We start from the raw sequence: 17835 nt of genomic DNA on the forward strand, positions 1-17835 counted from the left end.
AACAAAAGCCAAAACTGACAAATGGGATCTAATTAAACTAAAGAGCTTCTGCACAGCAAAAGAAACTACCATCAGAGTGAACAGGCAACTTACAGAATGGGAAAAAATTTTTACAATCTACTCATCTGACAAAGGGCTAATATCCAGAATCTACAAAGAACTTAAACAAATTTACAAGAAAAAATCAAACAATCTCATCAAAAAGTGGGCAAAGGATATGAACAGATGCTTCTCAAAAGAAGACATTTATGCAGCCAACAGACACGTGAAAAAATGCTCAGCATCACTGGCCCTCAGAGAAATGCAAATCAAAACCTCAATGAGATGCCATCTCACACCAGTTAGAATGGCGATCATTAAAAAGTCAGGAAACAACAGGTGCTGGAGAGGATGTAGAGAAATAGGAATGCTTTTACACTGTTGGTGGGACTGTAAACTAGTTCAACCATTGTGGAAGACAGTGTGGTGATTCCTCAAGGATCTAGAACTAGAAATACCATTTGACCCAGCCATCCCATTACTGAGCATATACCCGAAGGATTATTAATCATGCTGCTATAAAGACACACGGACACGTATGTTTATTGTGGCACTATTCACAATAGCAAAGACTTGGAACCAACCCAAATGTCCATCAATGATAGACTGGATTAAGAAAATGTGGCACATATACACCATTGAATACTATGCAGCTATAAAAAAGGATGAGTTCATGTCCTTTGTAGGGACATGGATGAAGCTAGAAACCATCATTCTGACTATCGCAAGGATAGAAAACCAAACACTGCATGTTCTCACTCATAGGTAGGAATTGAACAATGAGAACACTTGGACACAGGGTGGGGAACAGCACACACTGGGGCCTGTCCTGTCGCGGGGTCGGGGGAGTGGGGAGGGATAGCATTAGGAGAAATACCTAATGTAAATGATGAGTTAATGGGTGCAGCACACCAATATGGCACATGTATACATATGTAACAAACCTGCACTTTGTGCACATGTACCCTAGAACTTAAAGTATAATAAAAAAAGAAAAAAAAAGATGGACTTTATTTTGTATAACTATCAACTGTTTACAGAAAGCAGTGACACTTAATCTTTGCAAAGTCCTATACCCATTCTATGAAAAGCATCTATCCTCCTTCCTATGTAAAATTGAGTTTACAAGCCTTTGAAGCTCAAAACTAAACAACCTACTGAGATCCACTGTCCCCACATTATGAACCCGAATCTCCAAAACTCCATCAGACATACAGTCTAAGATGCAACATCTTCTGCTACAATCACCTCAAGATTGAACTCCAGACGAAAACGTGTAAGTGTCCTGGGCCAAGAGTCCTTTCATTTGAGATTCAGGAATGAAATGTCTAGGGTTATCTCCATTGAGTACACTCATGGACTTCCTAATAAGAAACATTCCAGTAAAGGATACATGGAAAATTAGTCAGTGCATAAGTCGCAATTTATCACTGTAATGTCTCAAAAGCACCTGAATAGTATGAATTTTACATGCTTTCTCCTCACTATCAAAATCAAACAGTTAGTTGTTCAGCAAGCAAAATGAAAACTCTTATAAAGTTATACTCCCCCTTTTCACCAAATACATACATACAGAGATAAGCGATGTGCCTTTTTATTATTAATGAACATATTTCATTGAATTTATTAATATGGTAAGAGTGAAAACAACAGAATCTACTAGACTAACAGCCCTAAAGGATCAAGACTCTGTTATGCAAGGTACAGATTTTTCCTCTTCAAAATATTTAAATTATACCTTTACAATATGATTAAAATGAATATTTGCCAATAGAATAGCAAGTCTAAATAATGACCCACCACTTCAAAGAAACAATAGGTTTTAAAATTATAACACTAAATTATTGTTGCTTTGTTGTTACTGCCTTAAATTTCCTGAAAGAACTGCATTCCTACAACACAGAATACAGGGTTTACTTGCTCTGCCTAGAATTTTTCCCTGACAAACTAAATTCCATCTTCCAGCACTTAAAAACCCTCACATTCTCTAAAATTCAGAAAACTACAAATATAAACCAGTGTTTTGCTAAGTCTATTATGGGCCTATGAAGACAACTTAGTAATTATTAAAAACATACTGTGAAAATACTATTGAGGGCATTTTAAAATTTACTATGCGTCTCATAATAAACTACTTTCCGGGATCTACAATTTCATGAATTAAATTTAAAATTATATCACAGCTCCTTGAGCAAATGATCTACAGAAGCAATCATCAGCATTCACACCCAGATTTAAAAACTCAGGTTGTTCCATTGATCACTATATAAATAAACTTAAAAGTATTTTTACTCTGTATCCAAACAAATGGTTTAGAAATGCCTCCAAAAAGTGACAAGTATGTTGTCTCAATATTTAATTTGTAGACCAGATTACAGGAGAGTACAAACTGAAATGGTGAAAGTCTGGCTAAAATTAATGTCTGTTTGAACCATTTTAGATTATCAAGAAAAAATTCAGAAGACAAATTTCTGGCCTCAGCTAACCAAAAAAACAATATAAATTAAAATGGCCTTTTTGGTGCTGGTGAGGTCTGATAACTAAAATCATTCAATAGAATCCTGTTTGAAAACACCTTATAATAATATAATTCAATTATAGGATAAGCAAGTTATGCTCCTGTTTCCAAAGAGAAGAAAAAAATAAATCTGTGCGATTGCAATATACCAAATGTTAGAATGAACACTTACCATGCATATTTCCTTATACTTCACTAGCACTGTACAACACACACTTTCATTTTAATCATAACATAACACTTATGATATAGGTATCATCCCTATTTTACAGATAAAGACACAAAGCTACAGTTACTGACTCACTTGACCAAGCTTACAGGAAATGAGAGAGAATGAGGATTTGAACTCAAAGGATTCTGACTCAAGCTCTTATGTTATAAACAATGCTGCAAATATTACTTATCTATGTTTGTTTACCTTTTTCTATGTGAAGCTGAGTGTTCAGAGCCCTGATATGTTAATCTATTTACATTTATTTGTTTGGCTCTGTTTTTGTTTATTTATCTATTTATAACCAACCGGCAAACTCCATAATGTTACATGGGAAGAGTAAAAGAAAGAGTTCAAGGGCCTGTGGCAAGATTTTCATTTGGGGTCTATTTGGCTCTAAAGAAAAAAGAGCTAATCAATTGCTAACTGAAGACAGTACAGTTTAGTTTTAATAATGGTTACAGTAATGAGAGGTTAAAAGGGTCAAAACACTGAACCAGGTGTTAAAGTTCTTAATGTTCGTATTTGGGAATATACATTAGACTACTCAACTCTATTTGAAGTTATACAGGGGATAAATATGGTTCCATTGAGTAGAGGTTCTAATACTTGTTTGAATGTTCTAAAATTAGTTGGTTGTTTTCACTCATAAAATCAGAAGGCTGGACAAAATACTTTCTAAGGTCCCTTTCAGTATTAATATTTCATAAAACTAAAAGGCAAACTGTACTTGATGAATTATGTCTGACTCATAAGGTTCTTTCAAAATTTAATGTCTTATTTTTCTTTGCCACATGATATATTTTTTGCCTTTTGTTTTTTGGCAAGTCATAACCCAACCATGCCTTTTAAATGGGGGTAATATATAAACCTTGCCTACTTTATAGACTTTTCCTATCAGTATGATGATATATGTAAACTTTAAAAAAAATTTTAAGTATGCACATAAGGTAACATTAACTATTTAATTAAATATTAAGTGATTCACTATTAAAATCATGTTAAAATAGGATGTCTTAACTATAAATGCCAATATACTAAATTATTCAACAACAAGAGCATAAGATTCTACTTGAGGCAACACATATAAAGTTTTATGGTATCTGTAAGTAATTTAAATACAAATTTCTTTATTTGTCTACTAATAGCATTTACCAGGCTATTTTATTTAAGAAAGCAGAAATATTGTCTTTGACCACAGAACAGAAGTTCAAAGAAAAAATCATTCTTTTCTCATTATCCTTTTCTACTGCAGATGTTTTGTATTTGTTTATTTAGATTCTGCCTCCATTCTAGAAAAGACTAAAGGAAGCTGAAAGGATATATTAACCACAAGAAAATTCCAGAAGTGTAAAACTGGACAGAAAGAAGAAAGAAAAATGGGAATAAAGCCATCAATTAGAGCCAGAAATAAAGCTCAAACATGTTTACCATAAACATTTATATATTTCTTATTAGAGAGCCATAAACTGGCTTTAAGCTTTCTGGCAATAAATGCAGCAAGCAGCTCCCAGTGTAATGTGATTCAGTAAAACAATTCCATTGGGAGGTAAACTGATTCTTCCTTGTGCCAGTCTCTGTAGATCTGGCTTGATTTGGGGATAGATTTTTAGAAAATGAAGAAACATAGAAGGAGTTGCGTATCTTTCAAATAATGTTCCCCAAATATTATTTCTCTAAGTTGTGGGCACCGATGAGTTCAAGACTATTCCCTGAAAAAGTATACAGCATAAAATTACTCAACAGTGGCATTTAAATTTTTTTCCATGTGTCTCAACAAACCCTAAATTTTAAGAAACTGTGTATATGAGATATATATACTCTTCCAAAAATTGAGGATTTGATCTTTAAAAAGACTTGACCATGTCCCAAAGGGCCTCCCCACTTTGTAGCATGCAATACCACAGGAGCACTAGCTTAGAAAAGTTTTTCTAAATCTCTAACTGAAAGACAATGAGTGACCTCTGCCTGAAGAATCTACTCCTTATAGCTTGGCACAACAGTGTCAGTCTGAAAGAAAAAAAAAAAAGTCTCACTAACATGAAAACAGCTGTCTACTCAAGTTCATATAGAAAGTAATTCAATAAAACAAACATTGAACGTTTAACTTGGAGCTAAGCTTATAAAAACTACCTATTAAGTATAAACCAAGGTAATTTGCAGAACGGGTCTTTTAAATAAAAGTCAGTCATAGTACATTGAACCAAATAAAATAACATTACTTGTACAAGTAGTTATCAATTCATGCTGCTGTTAGATTGAGATAAAATACGAAACTGTCATAAGAAAATGATTGTCTTTTGTCCTTTATTAGGGAACAGGCATGCAAGAGCTCTGTCAAAACACTGAGAATTAAGTTAAAGAGAAGAGAGGTCAGAAAATAATCATATGTTACTCTAATGCAATATGTGACCTGTTCTCCCAAAACAATATTCCTGCTGACCCTGACTCTCGAAACAGTAATACAGAGGCAGATTCTGAAAGGAGATCAATACCTGGGGTGGGAAGTCCATGTTGAGCTTTCATCTCCTGGCCAAAGAAGTGAAGGTTGGGGAAAGGACGCATATTAATTTATGTGAGGTTAGACTAACATTTTAACATGATTTATGAATCGACCTCAGCAAATGGCTTAGGTTTGAATAGCTGTCTTGAATTAATTCTAGTCTTCTAGTCCAAACAAAGAATATCCTAAGGTATGGAGAAAATTTGCAGAAGTACCTGGCCCATCTGAGGTACTTAAAACTGTTTGTTGAATGAGGGGCTGAATAATCTAATTTGCTATTTGCTAATACTGACAAAAATGGGCATGATATGAGAACATGAGAACAAATACAGTCCAAATATTTTTTAAATGGAATAAATTGAGTTTGTTTTAAAAGAAAAAACCTACAAATCAGTGTTTCCAAATTATTGGTGAAATTCTATTGACATTTTAAATGAATACTTTCTGGCTCTTTTCCCAAAAAAGCTAGTAGTACCATAAAAATAGGTAAAGGAAACAATGCAGGTGTTTTTGTGTTTTTTATTTATTTATTTATTTATTTATTTATTTATTTATTTATTTATTTATTTGAGACGGAGTCTCGCACTGTAGCCTGGGCTGGAGTGCAATGGCGTGATCTTAGCTTCTTGCAACCTCCGCTTCCTGGGTTCATGCGATTCTCCTGCCTCAGCCTCCCAAGTAGCTGGGATTACAGGTGCACACCACCACGCCCAGGTAATTTTTTGTATTTTTAGTAGAGACAGTGTTTCACTCTGTTTGCCAGACTGGTCTTGAAATCCCGACTTTGTGATCTGCCCACCTTGGCCTCCCAAAGTGCTGGGATTACAGGCGTGAGCCACTGCACCTGGCCAGGTCTTAATATGTCTACATTTCAATAAAGCATTTGAAAGAATCTCTCACCCTCCACTTATGGGCAAGGTGCAGAAATGAGAGCTGGATAATAACAAAGTAATGTCACTTTATGACTAGTCTAACCTCTATACTGGAAAAAAATTGACTAATGCATTGTTATCAACCAGAAAGATGCCATCCTGCACAAGGCCACTGGGCTTGGTCTTTAGATTTAGTCTACTTATTATTTAATATTATTATCAAACACTTGAAAGATAACATAACTAACTAATACTTCTCAAACACACAAGACTATAAAAAACATCGAATGCACTGTCTGAAAAACTTACTATAAAAAATTCTTAACAGGCTATGATAATGAGACACATCCAATAAGATAAAATGTATTAGAGACAATGTTCAAGTTCGGTTCAAATACCAACCTCCTCATTTCAGGTCAGTGCTCTTGTTACACTCCAACACATTCAGACATCAAAAGAGAGATGATTTTTAATCAGTAATAACAGTCCAGGATGGGGTCCTGAGCAAAGAGGCCAGGGATGGGGGTAGAATCCAGACTGGTTTGATCTGGTCTTTAGTTCACAAAGTGCTGTGTGTTTAGCTTTCCTACTCAGTCATTAATCACTCTGAGATACAGCCTAAGCACTTATGTAGAGGCTCAGACTGTGAGCCATTAGAAGTTGACTGTAACAGAGCTGGAAATCATACAAATCCCTGGGAGAACAAGTCCCCCAAATTTCTACTGAGGTTAAATTAAAAAAAAAAAAAAAGATGTCTGGAAAAATTGTTTAGCATGTATGCCTGTTCTGTGAATGTGTTACAGCTTGATTCTAATTAACAACAACAAAAAATTAACATAAGTCAGCCCCTAGATTAAGAGAAGTTTAAAAAAATATTGATTTGTGATGTTTAAGAAAATGGAAAAACAACAGGCACTCCAGCATTAGATACCTTTAATTAAAAACACAAAATAACTGGACTCATTCCCCAATGAATGGCTTTCCTCAGCTAACTGCAGAATTGCTTATCAGGTAAATCTGTTATGGCAGCAGCTACTTCAACAGGGATCAATGAAGTTGGAAGCCAAGTAGACATATACTCCAGACGTTAACCAAAGAGCCGTTCTTTTTTCCCTTTTTTAACGTGAAGCCACTGGAAGAAAACACTCTTACCAAGTGTCTTTTGAAGCATTATTTCAGAAAGTTAGGCTTAATGGGGAATGCAAATAATGTATCCCCAAAGTGAAGATTAAAATATTATCTATTTTAATTTTGACAAAAGTAGCCATACAATTTTTGCTACATGTTTACCTCCAAAATTTTAATGTACTGAGTGGAAGAAAGTATTCGTGGATCACAGCTAACGCCCTTATTATTAACAACTCCTCACATTCCATCCCAAGCCATTTCCCATCTCAATGACAGCATATTTATAAATAATAGTTGCCATCAGCCTGGAAAAGCCTATCATCAGGCAGTAAAGTCTTTGTTAATCACTGACTTACTAGAACAGACCCATTGGACATGCATGTGTGTATATGAATTGTGTTAAGGGTTTTTGATGTTTTCCTTTATTAGCATCAATTTTTTAAATTCATGCATGTATGAATAATATCAACAGAAACAAAATTAACCTCTTCCCCATCTCCTAAATCTGAAAACACAGCTTGAGTTAAACTACTCTATTTCCTTATCAAACTTAATATCTCCTCCTCCAGCTCTCAACTCAAAACTCCAGGACAGCACTCATCAAGCTTCTTGGTAACCAGGTATCCTACGCCAGACTCTCCTCAGGACCTGTAAAGTTAGGGACAGAGTTCTGCATACTCATCCCTGGGAGGCTGGCACTTAACACAATAATGAGCTCCTAGTAGCTTCTCAATGTCAGTGAATACATTTTAAAATACTGTTCCTATATGATCTCAGTAGCAAGAAAATTATCACTATCCTTCTCCTCCTTGTGACTATCCTATCAGGAAAGTTTATCAAAGAAAATACTATTATCTAATAACACAGAAGCTTCAAAGGTAACTTGCATGATGCTTTCAGAAAGCAACTTAACAATACAGCCCATTGGCCATACTTTCTGTGTTCAAAAGGCACCTTTGGGAAATTAAGTTTATGGAAATAATATAAAATGTGTTTTTAAAGATATATATAAAATTTAAGAGAAAAAGTATGGAATCATTAGGAGAATAACTTGGTCAACTATAATAATTTCTTAAGCATATGTTCCAGGCTTTGAAAATTATGTTCACAAAAACAATATCAAAATAAAGTGGGAAAACATATTCAATTAAAACATTTAAATTTTCAAACAGAATATGTTAGAGCACACACAGTATGTGAAACATATATTTAGAAAAATCTGGAAAATGCTAATAAATTAATTGTAGTTATGTTAGATGTTTGGGACTTCGAATATTTTTAAAGTCTATTTTTATACTTTTTGTAGCATATTCTTTGAGTAATTATTTTTAAAAAAATAACTTCCCAGTTAATCGAATCAAACTTTTTAGGAAAAAAAAATCTAGGTGATAGTGATTTCTTATTTTGACCCTTTAAGAAGATTATAGAAGAGAAAGAAATCTGTATTTGCAAACATTGGGTCATATTATAGCACAAAGCAGTAACTATTTCTCTACATCAGTACAGAAAGGCAGTTTGATATCCTGCTGACCCCTGTAACATGATCCACTCTGCTGAACCCTGCAGAGCAGGTCAGGAATCAAAGGGCAGGCCAAGACCAAGCAGGCAAGGCCAGTATCTGAGAACAGGGCCAGCCAGATGTGGACTTCTCCAAATAAAGCGAAGGCAGGAGGTGCTGATTGAGCTTTAGGGTCTAATGGTAAAGAAAACAATTTTTAGGTTTCACTTATCCAAAAATGATCTGTATCTTACGCATATTTTAGGAAGAATATAATTATCCTTCCCGCACTCCTTTTTCTCCCCTCAAATATTCCTCCAAATGAATGTGAAAGGGGCAAAGGCTGAAGGAAGAGAGTTCAGGAGCCAACCAGGGAGTTTAAGTTGATAAGTTAGTTTTCCCATTGTTTCACTTTTATCACCCTATTCTCTGTCTTAGAAACCTCCAAGAACACCCCTATGCCTGGCACTCAGTAGTCTAGAATCAGGGACTGTATACATATTTTGTTACTTTCCATAAATCCTTCCCTGGAAGCAGAACTGTACCTCGGTGATTAGAGAACTTCCTATCTTCCTGGAGCCCCCTGTGCCTAGGAATTAAAACCCCCTATCTCTGCACTTACCATCCCACCAATTCCAAACCCACTCTACATCCCTCTCTCTTGGAATCCTAATAGAAGGCAGAGAGGTGCAAGCCAGTGGCCATATACTTATACACAAACTCAAGTTTCTTTCAACTTCCATGAATCCCTATCAGAATTAATCTATCTTTACGTATTTAGCTGAAATAGGAGTTCATGAGCAGCTGCAGTTTTTGACATGTTCAACAGCTAAAAGAAATTAAAGGGAAGGTAAAGAGAGAAAAGCAACATGGACTCATTGAGAGAAAAAAAAAGAAGGAAGTGATAGCATAAGATTAGCAAAGAACTGATTCTCTAGCTTTTCTTTTCTGCTGCCTGGTTTATTTGTGTTTTTCCCCAGTGAATCCATATGCTACGGTGGGGGAAACACTACTAAAGCATCTTAGGACTATACATGGCTGTTGACTGAAAAGAGTGAAGCTCCCTCCCTAAAGGAGACAACTCTTCAGGGTGTTTGCTTTTGTAGAAAAGGCAATGCAGCTAATCCACATCAAACTCTGCAAAAGCATAAAATACCTGACTAGATTTCCACAAATATTATCAGTATATAAACATAAAAGTACTAATTATATAAGTCAATCAAGCTATTATATACATGTAGATGAGTCACACACAAGCCAGAGGAGCTTGCTATACTTTTTAAATAACGCTATCAAGAATCTGAGTTTGTCACTTGCTGAAATCCCAGAAGTTCAGTAGCTCACTGCTCCCTGTCATTCCCCAAGAGGCAAGATAACGAAAACAAGCTATCCAACAGAGGTTTAATGTGCAAATCTGGAATAATTCTTTAAACACCAGAAGTTGATAAAACCTGCTTCACAATTGCAATTTTATGCTACAGGCATGTTCATATTTTTGCCAAGGGATTCGGTTTACATCAATCTCTACAAATTTATGTATTCAGTGTATAAACATTTTAACATAATAATAATCCTTTATCATAATAGAGAGACAGCATGGTCTAGTGAATTGTGTGCTGAATACCCTATCCAGCCCTATCTATCTCATAGGGATTCTGTAAAGATTAATTAGTAGATACCCCCAGAAAGCACTGTGAGCTTTTTTGCAAAAACAGTGTACAAACATCACTTATTTATCATACCACAACTTGTGAGATAAAGAGGCAATAATATAGCTATAAGTGTACAAAACGGAATGGTAGTTGGGATGAAAATGAATGAGATGGCTGCAGAAAGAGATTAGAGGGCAGAATAAGTATAAAAAATATGAATATATGAGTCCTATGTGGAAAACAAGAAAGGGTGGTGCCTTCCCACAGCAGTATTGCAACAAAACACCCCCACCACAAAGGGTTAAAACAGGTCATGCTTTCCCGCAGCAAAGTGTCCTGATTTCTCCAGGAAGGTGAGGACAGGAAGAACCCAGCTTGTGTTTGACTTGTGCTCGCCCCCAAGGCTCACTCCTTTCCTGCCCTGCCTACAGAGTCCTTGGTGCACACTTGTCCTTCACAGACCACTTCCCCCAAGGGTGCCCCAATCAATTTAGAAAATGACAAGGTGACACAGAAACAAAAAGCAGAAGCTCTGAAATAGAGTCCATTCTAGTCAACAAACAAGACTCAGAAATATATATAAACCAAGGAGCAAAAGTGATTTAGGAGAGCTCAAAATACAATTAGTACATTTTTGATGTATGAGAAGAATTTCTCAGTTATAAAGCCAAATGTAAGGTAATTCTTCCTTCTCATATCTCAGAAGTAATAATGCTGGGGGAAAGAGAGGGCTTTTTAGAAAGCATGAACTTTTATATGTAAGTCATTAACACTATAAATTCCTAAACATTGTCTGGTAAATTAAATAATTTTCAATGGCCCAATCTATAAAATATGACCATTCCTAAACTATCATTTTCAGATACAAGTATACAGACCGAAAAATAATATAAATAGAAGCAATGCACATATTCATACTAAAATTAAAATCAAGAGCATTTATTATATTAAGAAAATAGGTTTAGTAGTTAGAAATAAACTGCCCTTGAAAGGAGCCACAAAGCAGCAATTTAGCCAAAGATCCACTCAATTTGTAGTATGTTATCACCAGTTCCTAAGAATCTTTCTGGTATCTATTCTTCATTTTTCTTTTGCATTGTATTTCACTTTTAGGCCATTAGCTCACTATACCTAGACTACCACAATGACCCACTAACAAGTCTGCCTGACTCCATGTGGCCTACATATGGCAAAAAATTAAATTTCCCTGAAGCAAGACTCTGAAGGTATTTATTGCAGGTTAAAATTTGAGGTTCTCTCTGTTTCTCTCTCTCTTTTTCAAAAACTGGATACAGCTCAAACTTATTAGGCTGGCATTCACAGCTCTTCACAGTCTGGCTCCATTCAGCCTCTTATGTTCTCAATTTCTGTTCCAAAACAAAGCCCAACTCCTACTCAATTTGGACTTCTGTAATTCACAGAAAATGCCCATCTCTCAATTCCCAAAGCACCTTTTAAATGCCAATGCCTGTGACTATGATGTCTCTCTCCTGCTGTCACCAGGGTAAGTACTAACAATTCAAATGCCTTTCATCCTGGTCATCTTTTCCACATTATGTAGATTTGATTTCCACCTCCATGCTCAGCACCCTGGCCCCCAGCCACCCTTCACAATCAGGGCACATATCCTGGACTAATCACATGATACTTTTCACATACTGATTTGTTTATAGATACTGACCCATGTGTGTTTGTTCTGAGAGGACAGAAATTCTCTCTTCTACAACTCGATCTCATGTGGTACCCTGCTTCAAATGTTCACTCAATGAAAAGTGTCCAATGCAAGAATGAATGTTTCTACTTTGCAGCAAAACTCCTAAAGGTTATTCTCTGTTTCACTGGAGTTTGGAAGACAAAAACAAGATGACCTCCTTTTTAAAATCTGCATGATATTTACAGAAAAGATGCATTTATAGGACATTTTTTAAAGTACATGATGTTTTATAATTAATGTTCATAATGCATACAAAGTAGGTCAGAAGCGTCACCTTCCCTGTAAAGCTAAGGAAACTAGAGTGCAAATTTCTGTAGGGCTCTACTATACAATTACTTAATAAAACTTCATGTCATTCTTACTATGCTTGACTGGGAAGTATGTGGGGTCTGTTGTCAACTTTAAAAACTTTAATTTGTTTCTGGTATTAAAGAACTGCCACCAATTAAAACTGAGTATACAGAAGTTCATTAAATACCTTAAGTCTCAAGTTATGGGCTAGCATTGTGTTACACAAAAAGAATATAAAGTTGAATGAAACAAATGGAGACCTTATTATTTCTCAGTTTACATACCAATACTCTCCTATACATACACAATATACTAAGAGGAATACTGTTGTCTTCTTACCCAAATTACACAAAAACAGATAAAAACTGACTTTTGCCATCCCTTTGCAAATGTTGTAGCAAATTCTAATGTTCTCAGGCCACGCTGGTCATGATCTGAGAATCTGAGCCAGTTATATCGAAATGTCATAGGAGGCCAGGCGTGGTGGCTTGCGCCTGTAATTCCAGCACTTTGGGAGGCCAAGGCAGGCGGGTCACCTGAGGTCAGGAGTTTGAGACCAGCCTGGCCAACATGGTGAAACCCTGTCTCTACTAAAAATACAAAAATTAGCCAGGCACGGTCACGGGTGCTTGTAATCCCAGCTACTTTGGAGGCTGAGACAGAAGAATCGCTTGAACCTGGGAGGTTTAGGTTGCAGTGAGCTGAGATTGCACCACTGCACTCCAGTCTGGGTGACAGAGCAAGACTCTGTCTAAAAAAAAAAAAAAAGGCTGGGCGTGGTGGCTCATGCCTGTAATCCCAGCACTTTGGGAGGCCAAGGCAGGTGGATCACAAGGTCAGGAGGTGGAGACCAGCCTGGCTTGGTGAAACTCCATCTTTACTAAAAATACAAAAATTAGCTGAGCATGGTGGCGTGTGCCTGCCGTCCCAGCTGCTTGGGAGGCTGAGACAGGAGAATTCCTTGAACCCGGGAGGCTTGCAATGAGCCTAGATTGTGACACTGCACTGTTGCCTGGGCAACAGAGTAATACGCTGTCTCAAAAAAAAGTCTCCAAAATAAATAAATAAATAAATAAGAAAGAAATGTCATAGGAAAGTTAGAAATATTGAGGTCATTCTTTATGACCTCAATCCTTAATCCTGGGCACCAGAAAGTTCTACTTAATCTTATGACTCCTTCCCCTGCCTTGTTCGAACCGTGATCCACGAGCCCTCTGGAAGATCCTACTGTTGTTAAATCCCTTTCTGTACGGGACCCAGAATCACCTACTTTTAAAAGCTGTTGTCTCTGTAACCAAACCCAGGGTAAAGACTGGGCTCTTGCCCTGCCTCTATTATGCACCCTCCCCACAGCAGCCAGTGGTGATCCTGTCTTTTTTCTCTAACTGCTTTTAAAATTTTCTCCTAACACCAGTATTCAGCCACTCTACTAGGTGACGTCATGGTGTTGTTTTCTTTACATTTACTCTGCTTGGGGTTCATTGTGCTCTTCGAACTGTGCGTTTATAGTTTTCATCAAATTTAGAAAATATTTGGCCATTACTTTTCCAAATATTTTTGTTCTCCTTCTCTTTTGCTGTGAAACCCAATTACATGTCAGACTACTTGATACTGCCCCACAGTGCACTGAGCTTATATTAATCTTTTTTCACATTTTTTTCTGTTTGTGTTTCATTTTCAATAATTTCTATTGCTATGATTTGTATAGGAACTATCTCTAGAAGTTCCATTTGGTTCATTTGTGTACCTTCCATTTCTCTCCTTATTATGTTCATATTTTCCTCTCTCTTGAGCACACAGCACATATTTTTAATAGCTGTTTAACATCTTTGCTAGTCCGGTCATCTCTACCTTTTGCAGGTATGTTTCCATGGATTGTTTCCCACCACTAGCTACAGTTCATGTTATTCTGCTTCTTTGCACGCAGATTTTATATTGTTTGATGCTGGATATTGTTGTATTCCTTTAAAGAATATCAAGCTTTTGAGGGGTGCACACTGTTATGTGTAAATTAATCTAATTCTCACAAAGATTAATTTAAAGCTTTGTTAGTGTAGCCTTCAGAGTAAAGCCAATTTAGTCCCACTAATAAGGCAGTATCTTTTTGAACACTCTATCCAATACTTTGTGTATTATGAAGGTTTTCTAGCCTGGCTGATGGGAGTGCCAACTAGTTCCCAGATCTGGGTGAATTTTGAGAATTTTTTTGTCCTACTGCTTTTCAGTGGATTTCTATCCTGCCTCTTAAAGTTTTACCTGATATATATTCCAATTTGAAATGATCCCTCTGTTAATCTCTGGAGGTGTTTCTTTCTGTGCATCTTCTTTCTCTCCAGTTCCTTGCCCTACAATGTCTCACTGCCTCAGCTTCCCCAGCTCTGATCTCAGTCTCCTCCCATCAAGTGAAAGTGCTAGATCCTATTTAGGTTCCTCTCCCTCTGCCAGGCCCAGATACTACCAAGAGGCTGTGAATTGGGATGAACGTAGGGGGCACCTCATTTGTTTCTCATCTATCAGGAATAGCAGTACTGTCTTCCCTGAAGACCATGTCCGAAAACTCTTGCTCAGAAAGACAACTGCAGTGGTTATCTTTCTAACAGAGCTGAATCCCATGCCCTTTTATCCTCTGTTTCATGTATTCCACATTTTCATGAGCAAATCTTTCATGAGCAAAAGCAGAGTTTCTCCCAAGCGTGATGATAATCCAAAACCTCCTTTCACTGTCTGCTCTTTCACCTCAGAGGGACTTCCAAACTTTTATCTACCTTCAACCTCACAGTTGATCATCTAAGTTCCTCTTACCTGTAAATTCAACATCACAAACCACAGTATAGCCACTTTTTGGTTTCAAACTTTATCAAGACAAATCATCAAAACTAGACACCATTGCCCTTAACTTCTTGTCACCAAGCTAAAAACCTCTGTGCATCCTCTCTATTGTTACTTCCTTTCCGTCATTCTTGGAAGATGAGCTGACGTTAGCTGTTCAGGGCCAACTCTAAGCATTTGACTATTTGCTTTTCCTGGATCTCATTCCGTCTGTCATCAATTTCTTCTGTATCTTTAACATCCCCTTTCTATTTACTCCTTTCCATTAGCCTTTTATAAATATGCTCAAGTAGTTTCTTTCATTTTTTAAAAAGCCTTCTGATCATGATTATCCTGTGGCTACTGTCCAAACATTCTCTTCTTATCCAATTTTCTACTCCCTACCTACTTTCTATTTTTTATCATCTCCAACTAACTTGTCTTCCCACTGAGATATGGCTTCTTCACTCAAATCTCTACTGGAGGCTTTCTCATTGAAGCAGACTGTATAATTAAATACAAAGATTATTCTTCAGATTTCTGGCTCTGTGATAGCTTGCTTCTTGACACTTGACTACACTAGCTTTCACAAAACTGAAAGTTATTTCACTGTATACTCGTTGGCTGTTCTCATTTTGGGGGTTCTTTGTATTTCTTTCATAAATATGGATGCTATCCAAGATTCGTTTCTTGTCATACACACATGGCTTTCAGCACATTAAATACTAAATTTTATATCAGTTAATTCACAGATTTTTTTGAAGTCTACATCTATACGCTTTGGATATAATAATACAAAAGTGAATCTAGATTATTTCCCCATTTCATGTGAAAATATCTCTATCTGCATACTCAATTTTGTATTGAGAACTTTCTAAAATAATCATTTTCAATTTGTGTGCTGAAGAATCCTAGAATTTCCATAGTGATGCTTTAAGAATGCTCTACTTTAGAAGAGTGTGGAATACATGAAACAGAGGATAAAAGGGCATGGGATTCAGCTCTGTTAGAAATCAAACCAAAGATTTTAGACATCTGGTTCTGCTTTTGATGTTAGAATTACAAGTAAGATACCCCTCAAATAAAAATGATGAAACAAGAACATTTGAAACCTACTATATTAAATTACAAATACTTTTAGGAAAAAACTGTTTATTCATCCTCATATGCTTGAAATACTCTCCCCCTTCACACTCTATAGTCAGTTAACATTAAGTATATGTTATATAATTTAGTGGAACCTAGCTTTGAAAACTGAGAATTCCTTAAAAATTAGCAAATACCACTTTAGCACTTTTAAATTTAAAAGTATGAAATACCTTCTCTTGGTATAATTGTTTCCTCAAGCTCCTGACCTTTCTTCTTTCTTATTACTGCATTGGCTTTCTTCCATTTTCCATCTGAATCCCATGTTCAGCAATCCATTCTTACTTCCACCAAATCTATGGTCACTATGGCTACAGCGTGCACCAGTGCTTCTTGAAGTGGTGTCTCTGAACTACTTGCATTAGACCCATCTAAAATATATATTATAAATTAACATTTCTAAGTTCTACTAAAGATATGGAAAGTCATCATTTCTGAGTGGTAGGGCCCTTGGACCTGCATGTTTGAAAAGCATACCAGGTGATTCTTAAAGACTCTGACATTATAAACCACTAGAATGGACTTGAAATTCTTGTTCACAGCAAAGTTTTAGAAGCAGTGTCTGTTTCAGGGTCCAGAAATGTCCAATTATATTGTCTTACTAAGATTTCAATCATTATTAACACTACACCAAATACAATTTGTTATATGTGCTATTCTTCAAGAAAATGAGCCACAAATCAAATTTATAAAATCTAAGTACAGTCTTAGTTCAAAGTATTGAAATAGAATGTCTGACTTACAGTTTAAATGACCTAAAGGTCAAATTTCTTTAACAATGTATTTGATTCTCTATTGTTGTTCAATCAATGCAATGACATTAAACCTCTTTAAAAAATCATATTTTTAATAAAGAGCAATTGATCCTGTGGGATACCTTTTAAATAACATATTTGAAGGTTTTAGTGAGACATCTCTAGGCTCTTTTTCCTCCTTTTAAAGTCTTAGCCTCTTAACACATAGATAAATACAGAAAATTTGACCTTTGCCACCGTAATATACTTTATGGAGATGAAATAAGTTTCAGAAACTTATTCTAGATTCCTATATCAAAGCAATCTGAGTTTAAACATGATGCAAATTGTTAGGTATTTCATACTACCATAATTCAAGGACAATTTCAAGGATGTGTCAAACAATATTATTAATTTAACACTTTGTTTTTCATGCCTTATATAATAATGAAGTATCTTTGCACTGCATAAATGTCATGTGGCAAAAAATGGCACTACATTTAGTAACTTCAGGACAGTATTATTAAAAGACACTTGATTTGTGAAGCAGTAACACAATCAGATGGAAAACCATTCCATTTTTACAATTTTCAAAACTGAAAAATAGCCAGCTAAACTGACTGAACAAAGATGGGAAACAACCAAAATCTCCCTATGAATCTTGTTCAGATGCGCTTCTTTGGTTAGAAAGGCACACAAGTTTTGATATCTACTCTATGGT

General features: G+C 36.0%; 1 protein-coding gene across 6 annotated transcripts in view, besides 1 other annotated feature; it reads right to left on the minus strand.

Moving 5' to 3' along the window:
- Positions 1-17835, minus strand: part of PTPRK (protein tyrosine phosphatase receptor type K) — a 551815-nt gene that overhangs the window by 303550 nt on the left and 230430 nt on the right. The window lies entirely within an intron of this gene.
- Positions 11618-12119: an enhancer, noted in NCBI's record as "NANOG hESC enhancer chr6:128605097-128605598 (GRCh37/hg19 assembly coordinates)". NCBI's record gives its function as "activates a minimal SCP1, AML or CMV promoter by ChIP-STARR-seq in naive H9 embryonic stem cells {active_cell/tissue: H9 hESC(naive)}" and the evidence as "EXISTENCE:reporter gene assay evidence [ECO:0000049][PMID:30033119]".

Source organism: Homo sapiens, chromosome 6 (genome assembly GCF_000001405.40).
Source record: "Homo sapiens chromosome 6, GRCh38.p14 Primary Assembly".
Lineage (NCBI taxonomy): Eukaryota > Metazoa > Chordata > Mammalia > Primates > Hominidae > Homo > Homo sapiens.